General features: G+C 43.2%; 1 protein-coding gene across 49 annotated transcripts in view, besides 5 other annotated features; it reads right to left on the bottom strand.

Annotated features, from left to right (window-relative positions):
- The window catches only part of AOPEP (aminopeptidase O (putative)), a 423526-nt gene extending 407003 nt beyond the window's left edge, over positions 1 to 16523 (bottom strand). For all 49 annotated transcript variants that reach the window (NR_169862.1, NR_169863.2, NR_169864.1 and 46 more), the window contains exon 1: positions 16471 to 16523. The gene's annotated coding sequence lies outside the window, so the exon portion shown is untranslated. The remainder of the gene's footprint in view (positions 1 to 16470) is intronic.
- Positions 16252 to 16731: an enhancer, noted in NCBI's record as "active region_28634". NCBI's record gives its function as "activates an Ori minimal core promoter by ATAC-STARR-seq in GM12878 lymphoblastoid cells {active_cell/tissue: GM12878}" and the evidence as "EXISTENCE:reporter gene assay evidence [ECO:0000049][PMID:35858748]".
- Positions 16252 to 16911: a biological region, named in NCBI's record as "H3K27ac hESC enhancer GRCh37_chr9:97488708-97489250".
- Positions 16254 to 16796: an enhancer, noted in NCBI's record as "H3K27ac hESC enhancer chr9:97488708-97489250 (GRCh37/hg19 assembly coordinates)". NCBI's record gives its function as "activates a minimal SCP1, AML or CMV promoter by ChIP-STARR-seq in naive H9 embryonic stem cells {active_cell/tissue: H9 hESC(naive)}" and the evidence as "EXISTENCE:reporter gene assay evidence [ECO:0000049][PMID:30033119]".
- Positions 16742 to 16911: an enhancer, noted in NCBI's record as "active region_28633". NCBI's record gives its function as "activates an Ori minimal core promoter by ATAC-STARR-seq in GM12878 lymphoblastoid cells {active_cell/tissue: GM12878}" and the evidence as "EXISTENCE:reporter gene assay evidence [ECO:0000049][PMID:35858748]".
- Positions 21606 to 22805: an enhancer, noted in NCBI's record as "P300/CBP strongly-dependent group 1 enhancer chr9:97482699-97483898 (GRCh37/hg19 assembly coordinates)". NCBI's record gives its function as "activates an origin of replication core promoter dependent on BRD2, BRD4, P300/CBP, MED14 and CDK7 cofactors, with strong dependence on P300/CBP, by STARR-seq in HCT116 cells {active_cell/tissue: HCT116}" and the evidence as "EXISTENCE:reporter gene assay evidence [ECO:0000049][PMID:35650434]".

Here is a 23807-nt window from a genome sequence, read left to right as displayed (position 1 = left end):
CCTCTTCTTCCTCTTCTTCCTCTTCTTCTTCTTCTTCTTCTTCTTCTTCTTCTTTTATATTGCAAAGTGAAAGCAAGTTTATTAAAAAAGTAAAGGAATAAAGGAATGGCTACTCCACAGAGAGCAGCCTGCATCTCTTCTTACATGCCTGTCTCCAGAACACTGGGTGCCTCCCAAGGCTTAGCCGTGGGCCCTCTTCTCTTTCTGAAGTCTTTCTCTTGCTCACATCTCAGGTACTCAACTCATTATTCTACAAAAAGGATTCAACTTGCTATCCAGCTCTGATCTCTACATCCCTGCCTCCTATCTCCAAAGCAATGCTTCTCCAACAATCTGCGGTTATTTTTCCCCTTATACTTTCATAAAATATAATAAAAATAGATCACTAAAAAGAAAAAGAAAAAAACACAAAATTACATGCCCCAAATTTGTATTAGATTCAACATAAATATAATCAGGGCAAACTATAGCATAGAAATAAAGAAAAGTGGCCAGGTGCAGTGGCTCACGTCTGTAATCCCAGCATTTTGGGAGGCCGAGGCAGGCGGATCACGTGGTCAGGAGATCAAGACCATCCTGGCCAACATGGTGAAACCCTGTCTCTACTAAAATACAAAAAATTAGCCAGGCGTGGTGGCGCGTGCCTGTAGTCCCAGCTACTCGGGAGGCTGAGGCAGGGGAATCACTTGAACCTGGGAGGTAGAGGTTGCAGTGAGCCAAGGATCGCGCCACTGCACTCATCAGCCTGGCGACAGAGTGAGACTAAGTCCAAAAAAAAAAAAAGAATTAATATAAACATTTCTAAATGAGTACCCTCTATTTCTGCACTTATTTCCTTGCAAACCAATTACTGCCTGTGGGTAGGCACTGGTTGGTGGGCTACTCATCAAGGAGCACAGCTCTAGAGGCCTTGAGGGCACCCCACTGGTCTGCTACCATCCCCTCAACACACACCAAAAGTTTTGCTTCACATTGACTCCTCTCTTCTTTGTAACTCGACCCAATCAATGATCAACTTTTAAATTCTACTGCTTTAAATTCTTGTATACAACTCTTCTCTGTATTGACTGCAACAACTGTGACCCAGCAGCTAAGACCACCCACTTCAACTATTACACAACCACCTTCTAAATAAGACTCCCTGTGTGGTCGTCAGTGCTATTTTTGAATACTTCCAGTTCTTTCTACCCAGCCCCTCCCCACAAACATAGAAGGTTTCTTGAACCCCTGTAACTGGTTACTGACATGTGACTGCACTCTAGTGCTGAGTTGTAAATGGAAGTATGCGTGTCCCTTCCAGGCCTAGCATTTAATCATTAGTGCATAACCCTCTAGAGTGCTCTTCTCTGCTCTCTAAAGGTAAACAAAATGTGACATGTTGGTTGTTCTATCAGCCTGGGTCTCAGAATGACTGTGATGAGCAGAGTCCCCAGTTCAGCTGTGATGGAATAGCATGACCAAGAAACGTACCTTCTTTTTTGGGGGGCCGCAAAGATTTTGGAGTTGTTTTTAATTACTACTAACTTAATCTATTCTGACTTATATAACCTGTCCAAGTCTCTCCTCTCTATAGAACCATACCACTAAGAGTAAGATTCCTGAAGCGCTAATTTAATGTCACGTCCCTGCTTTTAAAAAAAAGAAGGGGGAAGGCCGGGTGCAGTGGCTCACACCCGTAATCTCAACACTTTGGGAGGCCGAGACGGGCAGATGACGAGGTCAGGAGATGGAGACCATCCTGGCTAACACGGTGAAACCCAGTCTCTACTAAAAATACAAAAATTAGCCAGGCATGGTGGCGGGCGCCTGTAGTCCCAGCTACTCGGGGGGCTGAAGCAGAAGAATGGCGTGAACCTGGGAGGCGGAGCTTGCAGTGAGCCGAGATCGCACCACTGCACTCCAGCCTGGGCGACAGAGCAAGACTCCATCTCAAAAAAATAAAAAAATAAAAAAATAAAAAATAAAATAAAAACAAAAGGGGGAAAAAGGCCCTGAATGAATTTCCATGGTTTAAAGAAAAAATGCAAAATCCTTACCATTCACAACTCTCACCAACCTATTTTTTCAACCTTATCCTATCAGACCAACCTTCTATTACCTGAATTTGCCAGGCTCATTTCCAGCCACCACCCCACATCCACCCCAACCCAACAGAGAAACACTTTCTCACTCACTCTCTCTCTCCTCCTGCCACCTCCCCATCTTTAAGGTAACAATCAATTGTATCCACTCTGTGAAACTTTCCTCACCAGCCCTATAACAGCTGATGCTTACTGAGTTCTTATTAAGCGCCAGCCTTTGTGCTAGGCCCTTTCAATGTATTAACTCATTTAGTCTTCACTGTAACTCTGATATGGGTACTACTATTATTAAACTTATATTACAAATAAGGAAACTAAAACACAGGAATTTTCCAGCTTGCTTAAGGTTACACAGTTTGTAACTGATGAAGCCGGATATGGACCCAGCAGCCTCTGAACCACTGCCCTCTACTGCTTCTACAACATTCTCATCTCTCCTTTCTCTGAGCTCCCATTATACTATGCTGAACTTTCTGGCATGTGATCTTGTGTCCTGCATGGCTGGTCACTTTCATGTGTGCAGGCCTTATTTACTAAGCTAGACAGTAAACTCGAGGGGTGCAAGGAGCCACTTTACCATTCTTTCTATCACTCAATAAGAAAATGCTCCCAAAAGAATCACTTGTGTGATAAGCACAGTTCTGCTGGAAGGGTTATGCATTAATCATGTTTTTTATTTTCTATATTTTATGATGTTTTGACATCTTGGAGCCTTGCTAATCCTGGAGAAATTGCTCCTCCCAGGGCTAATTCCAAGAGATAGCAAAGAACTTGCCTGTGAGCATGCCTTTCATAGGCAAACCAACCAATCCACAGTCCACAACCACGTCCTTATCTAACTCTCATAGCCCAAGCAATATTGCCACTGTCCTACATCACCCCACAGCCAGGTACTACACAAGCAGGGACCACCCCTAGAGCCCTCCAAAATTATTCAAACTAGCCAATCCTTCATCTGCTCAGCCTGCTAGCCTTGCCTTTCCCACAGAAACCCCAATAAAAGCTCCTGCCCATGCTTCCCCCAACTCTTTCTGCCTCCTGACCAATCCCGGTGCTTCCTCATATGGCCCTGTGTCATATGAGGGCGTGATGCACCCCCTCCTTCTGGGAACTATAATAATAAACTCTTCTTTCAAAAGCAGCTTGTTTCTGTGTCTGTCATCATGCCATACCTGATTAGAACAAATCTGAGGTATCTTTTAAAATAGGGCATCAACTTATCTAGAGGTCCTTGGCAATGCAAACTCCACCCTCAAGATGGGGAGGGCTCTCGTGGTTCTTTCCTGATTTCCTCAGTCTCCACTAGTGGTAGAAAGGAGGGGTTTCAGTGGGTAGAAGAACAGTCCAACCAATAGAATAGGTCTGGTGAACTTCATGCCTAGCGTAACAAGGAGAGACGCCTGGTCTGGCTTCCAGTTACATCTTAGCGGTTACTATTTAGCAGTGGACTGATAACTACAATTGTAAACACTCCAAATCTTTTTTTTTTTTTTTTTGAGACGAAGTTTCGCTCTTGTCCCCCAGGCTGGAGTGCAATGGCACGATCTCGGCTCACTGCAACTTCCACCTCCCGGTTCAAGCAATTCGCCTGCCTCAGCCTCCCAAGTAGCTGGGATTACAGGCGCCTGCCACCACGCCTGGCTAATTTTTGTATTTTTAGTAGAGACAGGGTTTCACCATGTTGGTCAGGCTGGTGTCGAACTCCTGATATCAGGTGATCTGCCCACCTTGGCCTCCCAAAGTGCTGGGATTACAGGCGTGAGCCACTGGGCCCAGCCAACACTCCAAATCTTTAAACTGCCCTTATCTTTAACCAAATCTTTAAATTGCCCTTTATTTTTCCATAAGGATTAGTAAGAAAATCCTTAACCCCAAAAGGGTCTGAAGACAACCACCAGGACAACAAGGAAAGTTGGGAGCTAAGGAAAGTACGGCCACGCTGCAGCCAACCTTGGGAAATACAGAATTCCAGGAGATGGGTGGGTGGAGGCAGCTCTGAGAGCAGAGGAAGCCAGATGAGCCCTGCAAGCTGCCTTCAGGAGGAGAGCAGTTAGAACCTGACATGGACTTGAGACGTAGTTTTGGTCATGAGTGGCCCAGGAGCTTTCCTGGCATTCTTGCTCCTAGACTGACCAGTATGAATTCATGCTTAATAGACACTTTCTGAATAGATATTTCAATCATACAAAACTGAATGTAGTTTTATTATTCATGGGGATTTAGTTACAGTTCACTTTGTCCTTATCATTAATTTAAAATATTTTTCTCTTGGGGCACAGCGGCTCACGCCTGTAATCCCAGCACTTTGGGAGGCTGAGGCGGGCGGATCACGAAGTCAGGAGATCGAGACCATCCTGGCTAACACGGTGAAACCCCGTCTCTACTAAAAATACAAAAAAATTAGCCAAGCGTGGTGGCGGGCGCCTGTAGTCCCAGCTACTCGGGAGGCTGAGGCGGGAGAATGGTGTGAACCCGGGGAGCGGAACTTGCAGTGAGCGGAGATTGCGCCACTGCATGCCAGCCTGGGTGACAGAGCGAGACTCCATCTCAAAAAAAAATAATAATAATAATTTTTTTTCTCGTGTCCTTTTCTGTATCTCCTGTAGCACAGGTGGTACAAAACTGTTCACAGTGCTCTGATGTTCTAGTGTTCCTATGGATTATCTACACATTTAGCCATGCTCCTCTGAAAACCGCCAGAGAACTCCCACTACACAAACACTTCATGTCAGAGGCCAGGAACAAGGCAGGGACATATTCAGAGAGTGGAAGGCCAGGAGAATCCCATTCACCCAAAACTTCCCCAGGTGTTGTCCTGAGCAGGCAACAGGAACCTAGAATGACTTAGAGAAACCAGGTGAACCAGAGTCTTTCTCCTTTGGGAATTCAGTGAATTCAGAACTCCTCTATTCAGAAACCTTAGAGAAGGCCCTTGACCTTCAGACACTCATATTAACAAGTAGCAACTGCACCAAAAAACTATTGGCTGCTTGCTATGAGACAGGCTAGGTACATGAAGTACACTATTGCATTAAATCCTCACTACCCATTGAGGTATGTACTGTCATCTCCATCTTACAGATAAGTAAACTGAGGCCCAGAGAAGTTAAGATACTTTCCTGGGTTCACAAAGATGAGATGGCAGAAGTGAGATTCCCCTGGTTTGGCCCCAGACCCTGAACTCTCAGCACTACACTCTACTGCCCGAACCCCAGTCCAAGCCTAGATCAAAAATGGCAGTTTAAAGCACAGAGCAGTACATTCCATCCTAAGCTGAACCATAAGCTGAACCAGACAGTCAAAAGTGAAACAGGCCAGGAACTCCCTATATCCCCAACCAAATACGGATATTCACCACAACCAGAGACTTCTCCCTCACTCTTAAGCACACCACATCTTGTTGCTTATTGGCATGGCAAGTTATACATATTGCAGTCTTATATTTTAAGAAGTGACTAAACTTTACACATTATACCAAATGGAAGGTATATTTTAATCCTGATCTAATAAAACTTAGCTATATAAAATTGTATAATATCAAACAGCACTTTACAAATTTATACACTGTTGTTAAGGCTAAAATAATGCATTAATGCTGATGCAATAATTTAACATTCCATATATCCTGAACAGGTAAAATACAATCCAGAAACCATTCTTACCATCAGACACTGGACTAGATATTCTAGGAACTGAAAGATAGTGGAAAGGTACATAAGAATGAAAAACTGGGCTGGGCACAGTGGCTCACACCTGTAATCCCAGCACTTTGGGAGGCCAAGGCCAGAGAATTGCTTGAGGCCAGGAGTTTGAAACCAGCCTGGTCAATATAGCAAGACCCCCATCTCTACAAAAGAAAAATTTTAAAATTAACCAGGCATGGTGGCATGTGCTTGTACTCTCGGCTACTCAGGAGGCTGAGGCAAAGGATCGCTTGAGCCCAGGAGTTTGAGCCTGCACTCCAGCTGGGATAGCAAAGCAAGACTCTGTCTAACAGAAAAAAAAAGAAGAAAGAAACATTAAAAAAAATCTCCATGTTTTTGGCCTACTTATAACCCAACAAAATTAACAGCCTGTTGACATATCCTTTCACTCCAGTTTCTCCCCACTACTACCCAAAGGAAGAATAAGATTTCTCTAGACAAGCTCTGAATGGCTGGGAGGGCTGTCATTGCCTGAGTAGTCTCTTTAACAACTGAACAACCTCCATTCTTTCAGCCAACTCTCACATGACACAGTTTCTAAACCCTTCATAATCCTAGTCACATGCAAGTTCAGTCACTGTCCCCACTGCAGAGTGGTGGGCCCAGATTTTGAGTACCACAGTTGAAATAAGGTATGAGGAGAGCAGATGCAAAAAGGACCTTAATTCCATGAAGTGCTTTGCGCACTGTGGGCCCAAGGTAAGTACTATTAAACACTTTTATGGATATCATTCAATTAATGTAGCCTTTAAAAATAAAAAGAATTGGTTAAATATTTAAAGATGAAGGTGGTATCAGACCACCCAGTGATTTTTGTCATGCTGGGATAAAAATTCACAAAACATTTTAAACTCTATTAGAACTAATATAATTTATTACTGTCCATAAATATTTATGTGCTGGAAAGAGGATCTAGATTAATAGAGTTGGGTTATAGGGTTCGGTAGAGTAAAAATGAAGAGATTGGAAAAGAAAAGAAAATACAGACAAAAATACCAGCTTTTTCAGTAAGAGTTCCTCCTCCCCAGAAATGCTAAAGAATACTATTTTTAATAGAAACTATTTTGAAATATAGTCCTTAAACAAGTCATGTAAAAAGATTTTTTTCAATATCAAATGTTCTGCTATGAAGAAAAAGTAGCTGCTCTAGCTCTTAGAAGAATGTATTTCACTAGCCCAAAGAAATTACAGATACAGACTCCTCAAATCCATGAACAGAAGGGACTCTAAATCCAGTCCCCACTTCCTATAGGAATCCCCTCTAAGACACTCTACAGAATTATCCAGTGATGATTTGAAAAGGCCCAGATATAGTTAATATTGTTTTAAAAAACATACGCACAGCAAAACAACCAAATGACCATCAACTGATGAATGGATCAACAAAATGTCCATCCACACAGTGGAATATTATTCAGCTGTAAAAAGGAATGAAGTACTGAAGTACCGACATGCCACAACCTGGACGAACCTTGAGAACACCGTGAGACGTGAAAGAAGGAAGATACGAAGGGCCACATATTCTATGATTACATTTACATGAAATGTCCAGAATAGGCAAATCCACAGGGACAGAAAGTAGTTGCCAAGGACTGGGATAAAGAGAGAATGAGGAGTCACTGCCAATCAGTACAGGGATTCCTTGAGGAATGATGGAAATATCCTAAAATTATACAGTGGTGATGGTTGCACAATTCTGTAAATATACTAAAAATCAATAAATTATATTCTTTTAAAGAGTGAATTTTGTGGCATGTGAATTATATCTCAATAAAGCTGTTACTTTAAAATCACTCTCCTTGGAAATTTAGCACAGTGTTTCTCAAAATGTAGTCTGAGAACCACAAGCCCAATAAACAACGTTGCAGGTTGGGGGTGGGCTGGTGTGAGTGGTGCCTGTTAAAAATGCAGATTCTTGGCCGGGCGCGGTGGCTCACACCTGTAATCCCAGCACTTTGGGAGGCCAAGGCAGGTGGATCACGAGGTCGGGAGATCGAGACCATCCTGGCTAACACGGTGAAACCCTGTCTCTACTAAAAATACAAAAAATTAGCCGGGCGTGGTGGTGAGTGCCTGTAGTCCCAGCTACTTGCGAGGCTGAGGCAGGAGAATGGCGTGAACCCAGGAGGCAGAGCTTGCAGTGAGCCGAGATCGCACCACTGCACTCCAGCCTGGGTGACAGAGCGAGACTCCGTCTCAAAAAAGAAAAAATGCAGATTCTTGGACATGCAAGGATAGCAGCCAATAATCTACATTTTACACAGGATATCAAGATAATTTTTATGTATCTAGTGTTTCTGAACCAATGAGCTACTTAAACCAACTCTTGCCATCACAAAGCCATGAAAACAAAATTTCACTGGTCAATGCATATATAAATATTAATACAATCAAGGAATAAATATTTAAAACGAAAAAAGAGGCAAAGTGAAAAGCTCTCTTGTATTATAATCTGGCAGAATTTAGATTCCAGACCAGGGTGAATTGTAGCCACAAATGGGGGTATTCTCCACCTACAGGAACAATGTTGCATGTTACTGGTATCTATAACTGAAGCTGTTTTTTCCGTCCTTCAACTTGAAACAGCATTCCCTGCCATCCCTATATAAACATCAGAAGATGTTCTAACATATAATGAAGTTTTCACTCATTCTTTCCCAATATTTTGACTTTGCCACTACAATTAGGTTGAATTGGCTGGGCCAGTGGTTCAAACACAGACTACTGGGCTCTAAGAATCTGCATTTCTAACAAGTTCCAATATTAATATGCTGGTCCAGAGACCAAACTTTGAGAAAAGGCTTAATCTAACTCTGGTCTCCTCCCAACCAGTACTATTTAAAATCCACTGTAGAGTTCAGTGATGCTAAAAATGGCTGCATCTGGCAAATTCTCTGGCCACTTACTGCAGGGCTTCCTGTGTAGGACTCTTGCTGTTAAGTATATTGAGGAAATTCTCATTATTGAAAACTTGTATATGGGTGATTAGCAGGCCTTTTCTTGGCAACTCCAAGTATAAGCAGGCTTCCTTATCCCTCCCCCAATTGCTGGCCTCTGTCTGACCTTACAACTCCCACTTCCTACACTGCACCAACCATCTTTCTGTCCTTCTCTGTAGGACATTATACTTCCTATAACAGGAAAAACTGTAGGAAGGGCAAGAGGTCCCTCTGTTCCTGTCTTAGGCAACTACACTTCCTTCAGCCAGAAAGCAAGACAAGCTCCCCCACCCTAGGATTTATTTGGTGATCATGTTCCCGGCGCTGCAGCTGTGCAGATAAACTCGGCGGGGAGCACTGTATCTAGAGGCAAAATAAGCTCAAGTATAAACTCAGAGGATTGCCAAGGCCAGTAAATAAATCAATCAATAAAAATAAATAAATAAAAGGCATTCAGATCTCAATATTTATATTCTAGTTCTTTGTGGGAATAAATATAGAACGCACATTTCTCCATTCAGAGGAAGATCCAGACTTTACACACTGCAAATGGGTGCCCCTTTCTCTCTAAATGGTTTTGAATCCACCTCATCAAGGTTTAAAATATACTCCCAGCACCAGATTCTATGTGGTAAACTGAACATGTATTCAGTTCATCCTTGCCAAGACAAAATATTTCAACAAATTCCTGGAAATTGAAAAGCACCTGGGATTAAGGTAAGAAAATGCATTTGGTATAGCTTAAATATCTTTAGATCTTCAGGAGCTCAATCATCTTTTAAATTTAAACAGGCAACTGACACTTAATTTGTAGGTCATATTGAAATGAATTAGGAAGTTTTAAAGGTAAGTTTCAACAGTTTATTTTCCTTTAAGATTCCATTTCTTATAAAGGCTAAGGTATATATGCTGAAGAAAAAAGTGTAAACCTAGAGAACAAATACAGAACTACACCAATACAGAAGGAACCTAAGGGTATGTTTAAAGTGCTTGCCATGAGCTGGTTACACGGTGCAAATACTACATAACATTACAATTTGCCATGTGGTGTAAAAATAGGAATTTCTAAAACCATCATAAGAAAATGACTAGGCCAGATGCAGTGGCTCACACTTGTAATCCCCGCACTTTGAAGGTCAAGGCAGGTGGATCACTGGAGCCCAAGGGTTCAAGATCAGCCTGAGCAACACGGCAAAATGTCATCTCTAAAGAAAATACAAAAAATTAGCTGAGCATGGTGGTGCGCACCTGTAGTCCCAGACACCCAGGAGGCTGAGGCAGGAGGATCGCTTGAGCCTGGGAGATTAAGCTTGCAATGAGTTGTGATCATGCCACTGCACTCCAGCCTGGGCAACAGAGTGAGACACTGTCTCAAAAAAAAAAAAAAAAAAAGAGAAAGAAAATGATTAAACACAGCATATACAGTAACCATGATATTTCCAGAACCTGAAATACTCTCTTATTAGAAAAGATGTTATGCCATGTTCCAAAACAAAAAAAAATTTGTTATAAACTAACTGTCAAAGTCCTTGGGCATCCACTTGCTCAAACATGACCACTGAAGGATCTTGACTTGGCCAAGATTGCAGACAGCACAGAGACTGCTGCAGATAGGACACAGACAGATCTGTGCTATCTGCCACTAGAGAGCAACTGCCAGAATGTAATGCTGCTGCTTTTTAAAGTGTTAAGTTATTTGATAAAACATAGTCTTCTGTCATGCTCTTGAGTTTATATTCTGTATTTAGTATAAATGTCCATTTTCATGGTCTGGAGAGAACAACCCATTTCTCCTTTGATGTGCCAGATCCTAAACACCAAAACAAATCAGGTCCGTATGAAATCCTAGTCATCACTCTTTCTTGAGGTAATATCTTTTTCTTAGAAATCCTCATATTTAAGTATGTGAATAAGGTAATAAAATATCATTATTAAACACCAATAGGGAATTTACTGCCTATCATAGGAAATTCCTTGATAGAAGACACTTCTTATACCCTATCAAATAGACTAGATTCCTGAAAAATTTGTATGAGAATCAAGTTAAAACTCCAAGGCTTTTAATGCCACCTACTTACTGTTTTTCAGTGACAAGACTAATGATGTAACAACAAAACCTACATCAGCTTGTATCTGTGGATAAGACAGTTGTGTTTTTAATGCTTTGTAAAAGAGATGGGAATTAGTACCCATTCTTACTTGATGAATAATGTAGGTTATGCTCATAAAGATAAGGTAAAAAAAAAAAAAGTTGACTGAAAGCATGGATTATCAAACATGGGGAGAATATTAAAAGGCATATTCTAGAAGTTGCTTACATCCTCTAGAGTATACTGTAATTAGTTCCCAATTAACATTGTACATATGTATATGTTAAAAACGAATATGGAACAATAAAAAGTAAAAGGGAACAGGCTGGGCGGGGTGACCCACACCTGTAATCCTAGCACTTTGGGAGGCCAAGGTGGGCAGATCACTTGAGGTCAGGAGTTCGAAACCAGCCTGGCCAACATGGTGAAACGCCACCTCTACTAAAAATACAAAAATTAGCCAGGTGTGGTGCCAGGTGCCTGTAATCCCAGCTACTTGGGAGGCTGAGGCAGGAGAATTGCTAGAACCAATGAGGTGAGCAAAGATCATGCCATTGCACTCCAGCCTGGGCAACAAGAGCGAAACTCCGTCTCAAAAAAAAAAAAAAAAAAAAAAAGGCAAAAGAGAACAGACTAGGGAAAAAAGGCAGGGGGAAAAAAAACCTTCTAAGAGTTGTAAAATTTAAAGATATGTTGACATTTCTTTTACCAACGAGAGACTTTATAATCAGATGCCCAAATGCAAAAGAACTGCTCTAAAAGTATATCACATAGCACAGAAACCAGGGCTTTTTGGAGGCCTAGCAAAAAGATGACAAAATCAAATCAAGAGAATACTGAAGAACTATTCACCTAAAAAGTACTATTTAAAAAAACAAGTTGGGCCGGGCACGGTGGCTCACGCCTGTAATCCCAGCACTTTGGGAGGCTGAGGCAGGCGGATCACGGGGTCAGGAGATCGAGACCATCCTGGCTAACGCAGTGAAACCCCATCTCTACTAAAAATACAAAAACTAGCCGGGCATGGTGGCGGACGCCTGTAGTCCCAGCTACTCGGGAGGCTGAGGCAGGTGAATGGCGTGAACCCGGGAGGCAGAGCTCGCAGTGAGCCGAGATCGCGCCACTGCACTCCAGCCTGGGCGACAGAGCGAGACTCCGTCTCAAAAAAAAAAAAAACAAGTTGGATAAGTCTCTTGACTTGTTAAAACACTACAAGAGAGAAGTAAAAGTTGGGGGAAATGATTATGCTAGAAAAGAGCTGAGAAGCACTTACCGGGCGGAGTGAGAAAACAAGCATCCAGAAAGCCTTAGTCCTGGTGTCATTTCAGAAACTCTGAGGCTGTCCTGCTGCTGCTTTTCCAACCTGCTCCCTAACCACAGGTAATATTATCTCCATTTCCCCACTCTCAAAATGACCTACTCAGCGCCAACAACCTTCGCCTTCACTGCACGTAGCAAATTAATCGTCTTTTTTTTCTTTAACATTACAAGACATGCTTTACTTAGTATATAAATTTCTCAGTGTACATAAAATAGTATAATTATATTAAACAACCAGTCAGAATTACAACCACCGACCCAACTATGTCCTAATTCTTCATAACCACTGTGATGATGACTACACAATCCTGAGAAAACCTGCAGCAGAAACTAAGGTTGAAAACTAGTTTCTGAATACGTCTGAGTTACGCCTCTTATTTAGGCAACTATTTCATCCTTTTTGCTGTTTTTTAAAAACAATTTTTACTTGTAGAAAAAGTGTTTCTTCTCATTCTGTCCGAAGATAGAGAGATCCTATATTTTGCCATTTGGTATAAATCTCAATGTAAAATAGAGGTTTATTCTCAAATAGCATGTAAGTTACACGCTTTATGAGTCAAGAAATAAAAAACATCACTTTTCAAAAGAATTACTCAACAGAATTAATGGAGGTCAGGCTGAACAATGGTCACTACGCCTGGAAGTGGAAATAATCACTGCTGTTAGGAAACAGGCCTGGATGTCGTTTTTTCTTCACTCTCAAGGAAATGCATTAATGATCTCTGATATTAATCTGTTTATAAAATTTATACTAGACAGAAGAAGACCAATGGTCCATTCTTGACTTTTTTTTTTTTTTTTTTTGAGATGGAGTCTCGCTCTGTCGCCCAGGCTGGAGTGCAGTGGCGCAAACTCGGCTCACTACAAGCTCCGCCTCACCAGTTCACGCCATTCTCCTGCCTCAGCCTCACGAGTAGCTGGGACTATAGGCGCCCGCCACCACGCCCAGCTAATTTTTTGTATTTTTAGTAGAGATAGGGTTTCACTGCGTTAGCCAGGATGGTCTCGATCTCCTGACCTCGTGATCTACCCACCTCGGCCTTCCAAAGTGCTGGGATTACAGGCGTGAGCCACTGTGCCCGGCCCAGACATTTTCATTATGTGGAAGAGTTCCACCTGTGACATAATTTCAATAGTCTAACCTCCAAGCACAGCCTCCCAGTCTTCCTACTCTTTCTCTTGCTTACTTGCCAGCTCTTTCTTTTTTCATCGAGACTCCAGTCCCTTAGCTTTAACATTTTCTCCAATCCATCTGCTTCCTCTGACTCTATGGCAGTGGTTCTCAATTGGGGCTGATTTTGCCCCTCAGAAGACATTTGGCAACGTCTTGAGACATTTTTGATTATCACACTGGAGAGGTCTGCTACAGGCATCTAATAGGCAGAGACCAGAGATACTGCTAACATCCTACAATGCACAGGACAGCCCCCCACAGCAGAGAATTATAAATGTTTCAGAAGTAGAGACTCCCTGCTCTATGGTCTTCTTTTCTTTCTTTTTTTTTTTTTTTTAAAGACAGTGTCTCATCACTGTGTCTCCCAGGCTGGAGTGCAGTGGCGCCACCACAGCTCACTGCAGCCTCGACCTGCTGGGCTCAAGCTAATCCTTCCATCTCAGCCTCCCCCAAGTACCTGAGACTACAGGCATATGCCATCATGCCTGGCTAATTTTTGTATTTTTCGTAGTGGCAGGATTTCATCATGTTGCCCAGGCTGGTCTTGAACTCCTGGGCTCAAGGGATCCTCCTGCCTTGGGCTCCCAAGGTGCTGGGATGAGTGAGCCACAGTGCCCCCAGCCTCTATGGACATCTTTAGAATAACATAGTTCATTTCTTCAAACACTCTTGGAACATTTTAACCTCAAGTCTCTTGCTCTTTCATCCTTCTGACAGAACTTTTATAAAACCAAACCTTTAAGCAATGGAATCATCCACCTTCTGTACTTCTAAACTACTAAGCTCAACAAAAGCTGAATAAATATCACGATCACAAGAATATCTGACTCTAGATATTCATAGACTCCAACTTTGGTGGGACACCAACTTTCCTGGACAGGCAACCCTTCATGTTTCTCTCTAGTCTCCCCATCAAACCCTGTCCTTTTCCCTCAGTGATTATTCTAAACTTCTACCAACTTTCCTCAATCCCTATCCCAACAAATCAACGCAATGTCAGCAAATTCACCTGCTGCACTTAAGAACTTTTGCTCCATCACACAAGAACTTCCACACATTTCTTCCTCATCCCACACACTCACTCACGTCTGTGCCCACCCTTCTCCCCATCCCTCCCAGGAGAGTGGAAGAAGTGTCCCTCGTGCCCCGCATAGCCTGAAGGTGGCCTCTGCTCTGGAGATCGTCTTTTGGTGGCCTCTGGGACCTTGCTTCATCAATCATCCAGCCCTCTAAATCCTTGACCTCAGCATCTTCCTGTTTCCAAGCCCTTTCCACCTCACAAATGTGAATGTTCCAGTCTCTTCTTACAGGAAAAACCCACAAATGAACAAAACCCTCCCTTAAGTCCACATCTCCCTCTAACTCTTCTTTATCTCCTCACAGCCAAATTCCTTAGAAGAACTGTCCTCGACCGGGCACAGTGAGGTCAAAAATCTACTCGGCATCCTGAGTGTTTAAGAAGGCAAGAAATTGTGTAGTACATTTTTAAAATTTCCATCTCAAAGAGTCAATAAAATTTTCATTTCTAAAGAAGTATTAAGCTCTCAACTGTAAAATTACCCATTCCCTGAGGACTCCAAACAGCAGGGTTTTACTGCACAATCTTGTTTGCCATTTATCTCATTCTTAAAAATAAGGATGGTGTGTGTGTGTGTGTGTGTGTGTGTGTGTGTGCATGCGCGCACGCAGGAAGGATCACAAATTAAGCTTTCCAGGTGTTTTAACTCCAGGAATATGGGAACTTAACACAGTATTAAAGATATTAAAAAGTGTTAAATCATTTGTGTAGGTGAACAAACTCATAAAATTGTGTGCAACTATTGTAAAAAGCCTAAAATTTGAGCATTAGTAGAGTCCTTTAAGAAAAGTGCAGGCTTTGAAGTTATATTCAGACCTGAATTTAAATCTTGATTTTGCCATTTAGTTAACTGTGAATTTTTAGCAAGTCAATTTCATATAACCGAAACTCAATTTCCTTCTCTATAAATTGGGGGTAATAATTCCTAACTCACGAGGTGGTTGTATGAAGTAAGGAGAAAACATATGCAAAGTGTTGAACACAGTACCTGGGATAAAGCAGATGGGCCAACAGTAAGCAACTATTATTATACCCTAACCTTATTCTACTTTGTCCCCCAAATATTGGAAGAATCTAATCTTCCCAATTAGCAAGTCATTGGAAGGCTTCCCAGACTTATACGAAGCACAATATACACTATTCAAAAATGGAACAGACTAAAAGTATTTTAAAAATACAAAACCAAACAATCAATGAGATCAAGGATTTCAGAATTCTGCTTCTCGTCCCATATACTCAGCATCTATTCTGTCTGGTTTTGTAATAACCCATATTATTTCTTTATCAACCATATGAACCTTATTGTTGTTTTTTTGCGATCTAAACATCCCTAGCGGGTTATGTTACTTATTTTGAGGGCTACCTTTGCAAGGGTAATTGTCATCATTGCACGAAAACCAAAAAGAAATCAGGTACAAGGGGCATTTTATGCAATGCTATTAACTGTTCCATGCATCTCAACAGTGGATTGGATCCTAAGTGGATATTTTATTATCACAATAGATAATCATAATCACATTACTGTGCCACCCCCTCCCCGCCCATGCATGCGTTCATGAACAAAACTCCAGACTAACAGTATGAATGTTCTATAGGGACCCCAAAACTCAAAATGTGGTGCTCTCAGTAAAGATCCTCCGGGGGAAGAAGAGGCGGATGGGTTTCACTGCAAGTGGAAATGAATCGAATCGAAACTGTTCTGCCTACTTAAGACTGGAGATGAGCCCTGTGGGGCTAGAAGCCGAGACCGGCAGGTGACCGAGGGCCTGGAGGCAAGAGACGAAGGAGGAGGCACCCAGAGGCTGAGAAAGGTCTGTGCCGCCGGGGAGAAGACAGCCAGAGCCCGTGGCCACCTCTACAGCTGAGGTGGTAAGATGTGACCGCTCCGCCCAGTCCCCAGGATGGGTTTCAGCCCCAGGAGTCTGGGAGAACTGAGGAGGGGATGCGGGTCCTCGCTGGTCGAGCAAAAGTGAGGGTAAGGGAGGGTTCCCCGTCGCCTTCAGAACGGAATGATGCTGTCCCCGCCGCCATCCCGACGCCGGAGGAGAGGAAGGCAGGGACCCAACAGGGAGCGAACAGGTTACCTGTCTCAGCCGCGTCCCACGGGTCACCACTTCCGCAGACTCGGGGTTACTACGGGCTACCCCGGCACGCGCCGGGTGACGTCATCCACACGCGCCCGGGGCCGCATTCTGCCTGACCCGCCTTCCGCTAGGCCCGCCCCCTTAGGATGAGAGGGCGAGACCGCCCGGGGGAGATCTGCGCAGGCGCGGAGCTGCCGCGGTCATAGGAGGGCGCGAGCAGCTTGGCTGGCTAGGGCTTGTAGAGTTGCCCTGGTACCCTAGTATTCCTAATTGCAAAATCTTTATGAAGCTTAAGAAAAAAATCACCAGCCTGGGCAACCTGGGGAGGCCCCGTCTCTACAAAAAAATTAAAAAATTAGCCGAGTGTGGTGGCGTGCACCTGTGGTCCAGCTACTATGGAGGCTGAGGCAGGAGGATTGCTTAGGTCCAGGAGTTCGAGGCTGCAATGAGCTATGAACGTGCCACTACACTCCACCCTGAGCCACAGAGCAAGACCCTGTTTCAAATAAAATTTAAAAAAAGTTACTGAAATACAGATGTGCAATTTTATTCCTTAGCCTAGTCTCACCTCTGCTGCATGTGACTATTGTTCACATATTAATTCCACCACAATTTAAGGTCCTCCTGTGTGCCAGGCAAGCACCCTTAACAAAAGCTGGGGAAACAACCAGGAACAAGACAGACGCTGTGCCTTCCCTCATGGGGATTACTTTCTAGTTGAGAAAGCAAACATTAAATGTAGAAGGAAAGGCCGGGCGCGGTGGCTCACGCTTGTAATCCCAGCACTTTGGGAGGCCGAGGCAGGCGGATCACAAAGTCAGGAGATCGAGACCATCCTGGCTAACACGGTGAAACCCCGTCTCTACTAAAAATACAAAAAATTAGCCGGGCGAGGTGGTGGGCGCCTGTAGTCCCAGCTACTCGGGAGGCTGAGGCAGGAGAATGGCGGGAACCCCGGGGGGCGGAGCCTGCAGTGAGCCGAGATCGCGCCACTGCACTCCAACCTGGGCGACAGCGAGACTCCATCTCAAAAAAAAAAAAAAAAGTAGAAGGAAAATAAGTTGCTGAGAAATTAAAGGAAGACAGGTGACCTTTTGATTTGAGATGTCAAGAAAGTGCCCTCTGAAGAGGTTCAGTAAACTGAGAAGCAGCCAACTCTGTGGAGAGCTAAGGAAAGAACAGCCAAGAGAAGAATCTACATGTGAGCAAGCAATAGGGAAGGGGCAGAATGTGGTGCCTTGGAGAAAGTGAGAAAGTAGGTCATGGGAAGAACAGAGGATGAGATCAAGAAGGCAAGGAGAGTCCCCATCATGCACAGACTCTCTGGGTTCCTGTGAGGAATACGAGTTTATTCGAAGTGTAAGGGGAAACTAGTGAAGAGTTATCAACACGTAAGTGACAGGATCTAGTTTTATAACATCACCCTGCTAGCTGCTGTGTATACATGAAACTTTTGAGAAACAATTTAAAAGGATGCAAAGAGAAGAGTTGCTTTTGCAATGAGCAGGTAAGAAATGATAGAAATGGACAAATTTCAGGAATAATTCTGAGGTAGATGTGACAGACTTGGAGATGAGTTTAGATAAGGGAGATAAGGAAAAGAAAAGTGTCAAAAATAATTCTTAAATTTGGGGCCTAAGCAAATAGCTGGATCATATAGCTAAAACAAGGTTTGTTTCACCTCCTTTCAAACTTGATTTCTTTGCTTGTTTCCAAGTCAGTCCTCTAGGTTCTCCTGTCACCTATCTTTCCTCAGTTTCTATCACTGGCTTCCACTTTCCCTTTTCCTGAGCTCTTTTTTCCCTTGGCTTTCTTAGGCTCCATCAGAGGCTGCAAACCCCAAAGCCTACAGCAGCCGGGCAGTTAACACAAAGGAGTGAAGCCCAGGGATAGAGACTGTGGTGATCTGGAGCTCGTGGTCCCTACCACAGCTCTGTTGATTTTTGCCAACCAGGAATGCTGACCCGGTGATGTCAGATCCCCTGCTTAAAAGATAATCGAGGGCCGGGTATGGTGACTCACGCCTGTAATCCTAGAACTTTGGGAGACTGAGGCGGGCAGATCACAAGGTCAGGAGTTCAAGACCAGCCTGACCAATAAGGTGAAACCCTGTCTCTACTAAAAATACAAAAATTAGCCGGGCGTGGTGGTGGGTGCCTGTAATCCCAGCTACCCAGGAGGCTGAGGCAAGAGAATCGCTTGAACCCAGGAGGCAGAGGTTGCAGTGAGTCAACATCACGCCACTGTGCTCCAGCCTGGGTGACAAAGTGAGACTCCATCTCAAAAAAAAAAAAAGAAAAAGAAAAAAAAACACCAATCGATATACAGATATTTACATGAAATCTCACAAATTTTAAACATTGCTCACTAATTCACATTTTATTAAACTTCTGTTTTGGACCAAACAAAACACATCTGCTGTCCATATGAGGCCTGCAGGCCTGCACAAACTTTGCCTCCTTGATGTGTATTTTCCCAGGGTGGTGACTTTGTCTCTTGTCAGGTGACTACCACCTGTAAGTTTGTAAGCTGACAATTCCCAAGTCTATCTTTCCATTCAGACCTGTTTAAAAATTTCTTATTCAGGCCGGGTGCGGTGGCTCATGCCTGTAATCCCAATGCTTTGGGAGGCCAAGGCGGGAGGATCACCTGAGGTCAGGAGTTCGAGACCATCCTGGCCAACATGGTGAAACCCCGTCTCTACTAAAAATACAAAAATTAGCTGGGCGTGGTGGCATGCACCTGTAATCCCAGCTACTTGGGAGGCTGAGGCAGGAGAATGGTTTGAACCTGGGAGACGGAGGTTGCAGTAAGCTGAGATCATGCCATTGCATTCCAGCCTGGGCTACAGGGCGAGACTCTGTCTCAAAAAAAAAAAAAAAAAAAAAAAAAAAACTTATTCAAATATCCAGATTCCACTTAAACATCGGGCTAGCATTTAAAAACCTGAACTCGTCCTCTGTCCCCACCTCCAAACCTGACCTACTCATGTATTTTTGTCTGAGTTAATAGCATCAATATCCACCCAGTCACCCAAGCCTGAAATCCAAGATCATCCTAGACTTGTCCCTCTTTGTCATCCCACAGTCCAATCAGTATTTATCACACCTGCTCATCACCTCCATCCTTAATAACTCTTGCACTGGCTCAAGACTTCATCTTTCTTGGGAAACCTCAGTTTTCTCACTTATAAAATGAGAAGATGGAACTAGAAGATTCCTAAGATGTATTTATTTCCATCTTTATAGCCACCAAACATGTCAGAATAGTTGCCTGGAATTTGGGGTTTTATCTCATTGGGTTTTTTGTTGTTGTTATTTTGCCTGGCTATTGTTATGCCAAGGATATTGTGACCAGGTTGACAGGGAAAACTGGACTTGATAGAAATAAATACAAAATGAAATTAACAGTGGCCAAAACTGAACACAATTTAGTTATAAAATTAAAACTGACTGAAAAATAACTGCTGATTGGTAACATTGAAAACAGGAAAAATTGGCCGGGCGCGGTGGCTCACGCCTGTAATCCCAGCACTTTGGGAGGCCGAGGCGGGCGGATTACGAGATCAGGAGATCAAGACCATCCTGGCTAACACGGTGAAACCTCATCTCTCCTAAAAATACAAAAAAAAATTAGCCAGGCGTGGTGGCAGGCACCTGTAGTCCCAGCTGCTCAGGAGGCTGAGACAGGAGAATGGCGTGAACCCGGGAGGCGGAGCTTGCAGTGAGCCGAGATCGCGCGACTGCATTCCAGCTGGGCGACAGAGCAAGGCTCCATTTCAAAAAAAAAAAGAAAAGAAAACTGGAAAAATTGAGAAAAACAGACATGGTAAAATGTGTCACTTATTTTAAATTGATGAAAAAATCAATAAAATCTTTTTGACAAGATTTAGATCTACAAAGTTTCAGCGGAAAAACAACTGGTCTTGGTTAATTAACCACAAAAGAAAACTCATAATGTCAGAAACTCTAATGACTATAATTTGTCATGAAGTCAAAAAATAATGCTAAATTGTAACTTCAATGGGAAGCTTACATGTAAAAGAACTGGAAATGATTCCAGTGAAAATAATTCTAGTGAAGTAGAAAAATGAGAAACAGTTATATAAATGTTATATAACAGTTTGTATGTAATATAAAATTTAAAACATAAAATATTAAAATGAATTTTTTATAAATTTACAAAATGAAATTTGCTCCAGGACATACTTTTATTGATGCAAATCATTGATGCAAATATAATTTTGATTTAAATGTTTGTGTTTATATATACAAAATCAACACCTCATGGAGTCAAAGTGACATGAGTCAACATCTTGTATTCATTTGGTTACTCCTGAGAATACTAAGTGTTCCACTTGCAAAACTTACATTGATGAGTATTCATGTCGCAAGCAGAGATATACCCCTAAGGTCTGGGCTTAGGAATGTGTACTCCCTAGTGGATATGATTTTCATTAATGGGTTGAGATATGATTTTCATTAGTGACTTTTTTCCCCTCTGATGCTGTCAGCTCCATGAAATCTACTCATATCCTCACCGAGATTTAGTGCATTGGATTAAAGTTCAAAGAATTTCTGACAGAATTAGCCCAGATGAACTAAGTTCAATAGAGGAGAGGATGACAGAGATTGCTGGCCGGTCCTCAATATCCAGTTGTTGTTGTTGTTATTTTATTGTTGTTGTTTCATAATACTAGAACGCTCACATTCTAGGTAATAAAATATCTTTATCTAATTCTAACATGGCCACCCAGAAGAAAGACAACATTTTTCAGCCTCCCTTGCAGCTAGCTGTGGCCCTGTGACTATGCACTGGGTAATGGCTGTAAGAGAAAGTATCATGTAGCAAGGTGTGGCAACCATCCTTACCAAACAGATAAGACAAAAGTTTGTCTTCTTTTTTTCCATCATCCTTCCTTTTGATTGAAATGCAGATGTGTTGGCTTGTCTAGGTAGCCATTTTAGATCATAATTCAACCCTCAGAGCATTAGAGGAAAGCAGCAAGATAGAAAGAGTTCGGTCCCTGAGGACTTCGTGGACAGAGCTACCACATAAGTTGCACTTTAACCAAGATAAATAAGCTGCACTTTCATTTAAGTCACTTTATTTTGGGTCTATGTCTTCCACCAAATCTAATTCTAACTGAATCTAACTGAAGGACTAGGAGTCAAAAGAAAAATACACAGTAAAGACATTTGCAAACTTCACCCAGACTGAAACTGTCTTTGCAAAGATTATGACAGTGGGAGAAATCTAGCATGGTTGACTCCATCTTGCTTCCAGCCTCACAGGCTGGCTGTCTTTGCTCACTCCTGGGTGTAGGCCAAGCTAACCATGGGAGGAATTTATAGTTGAGCTTCGAAGCAAAGATGGTCCCTCAAAGTCCTCTTTGTTCAGAGACTGAAACTGCCTTTGTACAACTAACAAAAGGCCACTAGGTTAGGATTGTGGAAGGGGCCTTAATCTGCTAAGATGTATGTGTAATTAAACAATAACCAGCCATTGTCCCTTAGCTTGCTTTCTTATAATCCCTTACTGCTCAAAAGTCATAAAGCTGGAGGTCACAAGATTTGGGACCTCCCCAATTGCTCCTGTAGATAACATCATTATTGTAGAACCTAAGATTGGCCTTTTAAGATGTTTTTCAGACTTTTGCTTTCTGGGACCAACTGACTCCACCTGGACACATCACCCATGACTCAGCCAGTCCTGTGGCCTCACCCAGAAACTAACTCAGCACACAAGGACTGTTTTCCACACTCCTATGATTACATCCCCAACCAATCAGCAGCAGCACCCATTCCCTAGCCCCTTGCCCACCAAATTATCCTTAAAAACCCTAGCCTTGACCGGGTGCAGTGACTCATGCGTGTAATCCCAGCATTTTGGGAGGCCGAGGCGGGTGGATCACAAGGTCAGGAGATTGAGACCATCCTGGCTAACGTGGTGAAATCCCGTCTCTACTAAAAATACAAAAAATTAGCCAGGTGTGGTGGCGGGTGCCCGTAGTCCCAGGTACTCGGGAGGCTGAGGCACGAGAATGGCGTGAACCCGGGAGGCGGAGCTTGCAGTGAGCCGAGATTGCTCCACTGCATTCCAGCCTGGGCAATAGAGCGAGACTCTGTCAAAAACAAAAAAACAAAAAAAAAAAACCCTAGCCTTGGCCAGGCGCAGTGGCTCACACCTGTACTCCCAGCACTTTGGGAGGCCAAGGCGGGCGGATCACCTGAGGTCAAGAGATCAAGACCATCCTGGCCAACATGGTGAAACCCCATCTCTACTAAAAATACAAAAAATTAGCTGGATATGGTGGCGGGCACCTGTAGTCCCAGCTACTCGTGAGGCTGAGGCAGGAGACTTGCTTGAACCCAGGAGGCAGAGGTTGCAATGAGCCCAGATCATGCCATTGCACTCCAGCCTGGGTGACAAGAGCAAAACCCCATCCAAAAAAACCAAAAAACAAAATCCTACCCTCTAGGTTCTTGGGGAGACAGATTTGAAAATTAACTCTCATCCTTCTACTTGGCCAGCCCTTCAATCACTGTAACTCTTTATTTGCTGCAAAAACCTGCTGTTCTGAGTGCATTGACTTTTCTGGGCAGTGGGCAAGATGAACCTGTTGGGTGATTACAAGACCTGAATAGCATGAAAGAGCCTCTTGAAGAAAGTGGTGGCTCATTTCCGGTCCCAGACCACGAGACCAGAAAACAAAGGCCTGGAAGATATGTTGCCCGAAGGCAGTAACTCCTAAAATCAGTTTCTTAAAGCAAATTCTTAAGCAAATACTTTGTAGCCTCACTTATTGTATCCTACCCAGTATCCCCTCTTCCCCCTAGTAATAGAATGCTGATTTTGTGGAAGAAAATCCGTTGATCTCAGAGAATATAGACCCCCTCCTCCAACCTCAATGGATGAATGGTTATAAATCTGAGGCAGTCATGAAATCTCATTGCCCTCTGTCCTGTATTTATGGTCCTAGTTTATTTTACAGCTAAGGGTGGTCCTGTGACACAGTCTGGCCAATGAAATGGAAGGGGAAGGCTCCTAGGGGATTCTGGGACAGATGTTCCCTGCTTATGAAAAGACAGTCATAGGGCCGGGCGCGGTAGCTCACGCCTGTAATCCCAGCACTTTGGGAGGCCGAGGCGGGTGGATAACAAGGTCAGGAGTTCGAGACCAGCCTGGCCAAGATGGTGAAACCCCATCTCTACTAAAAATACAAAAAATTAGCTGGGCGTGGTGGCGGGCGCCTGTAATCCCAGCTACTCAGGAAGCTGAGGCAGGAGAATCGCTTGAACCCAGGAGGTGAAGGTTGCAGTGAGCCACGATCGTGC

Source organism: Homo sapiens, chromosome 9 (genome assembly GCF_000001405.40).
Source record: "Homo sapiens chromosome 9, GRCh38.p14 Primary Assembly".
Lineage (NCBI taxonomy): Eukaryota > Metazoa > Chordata > Mammalia > Primates > Hominidae > Homo > Homo sapiens.
This window is presented reverse-complemented; position numbering and strand designations above follow the sequence as displayed.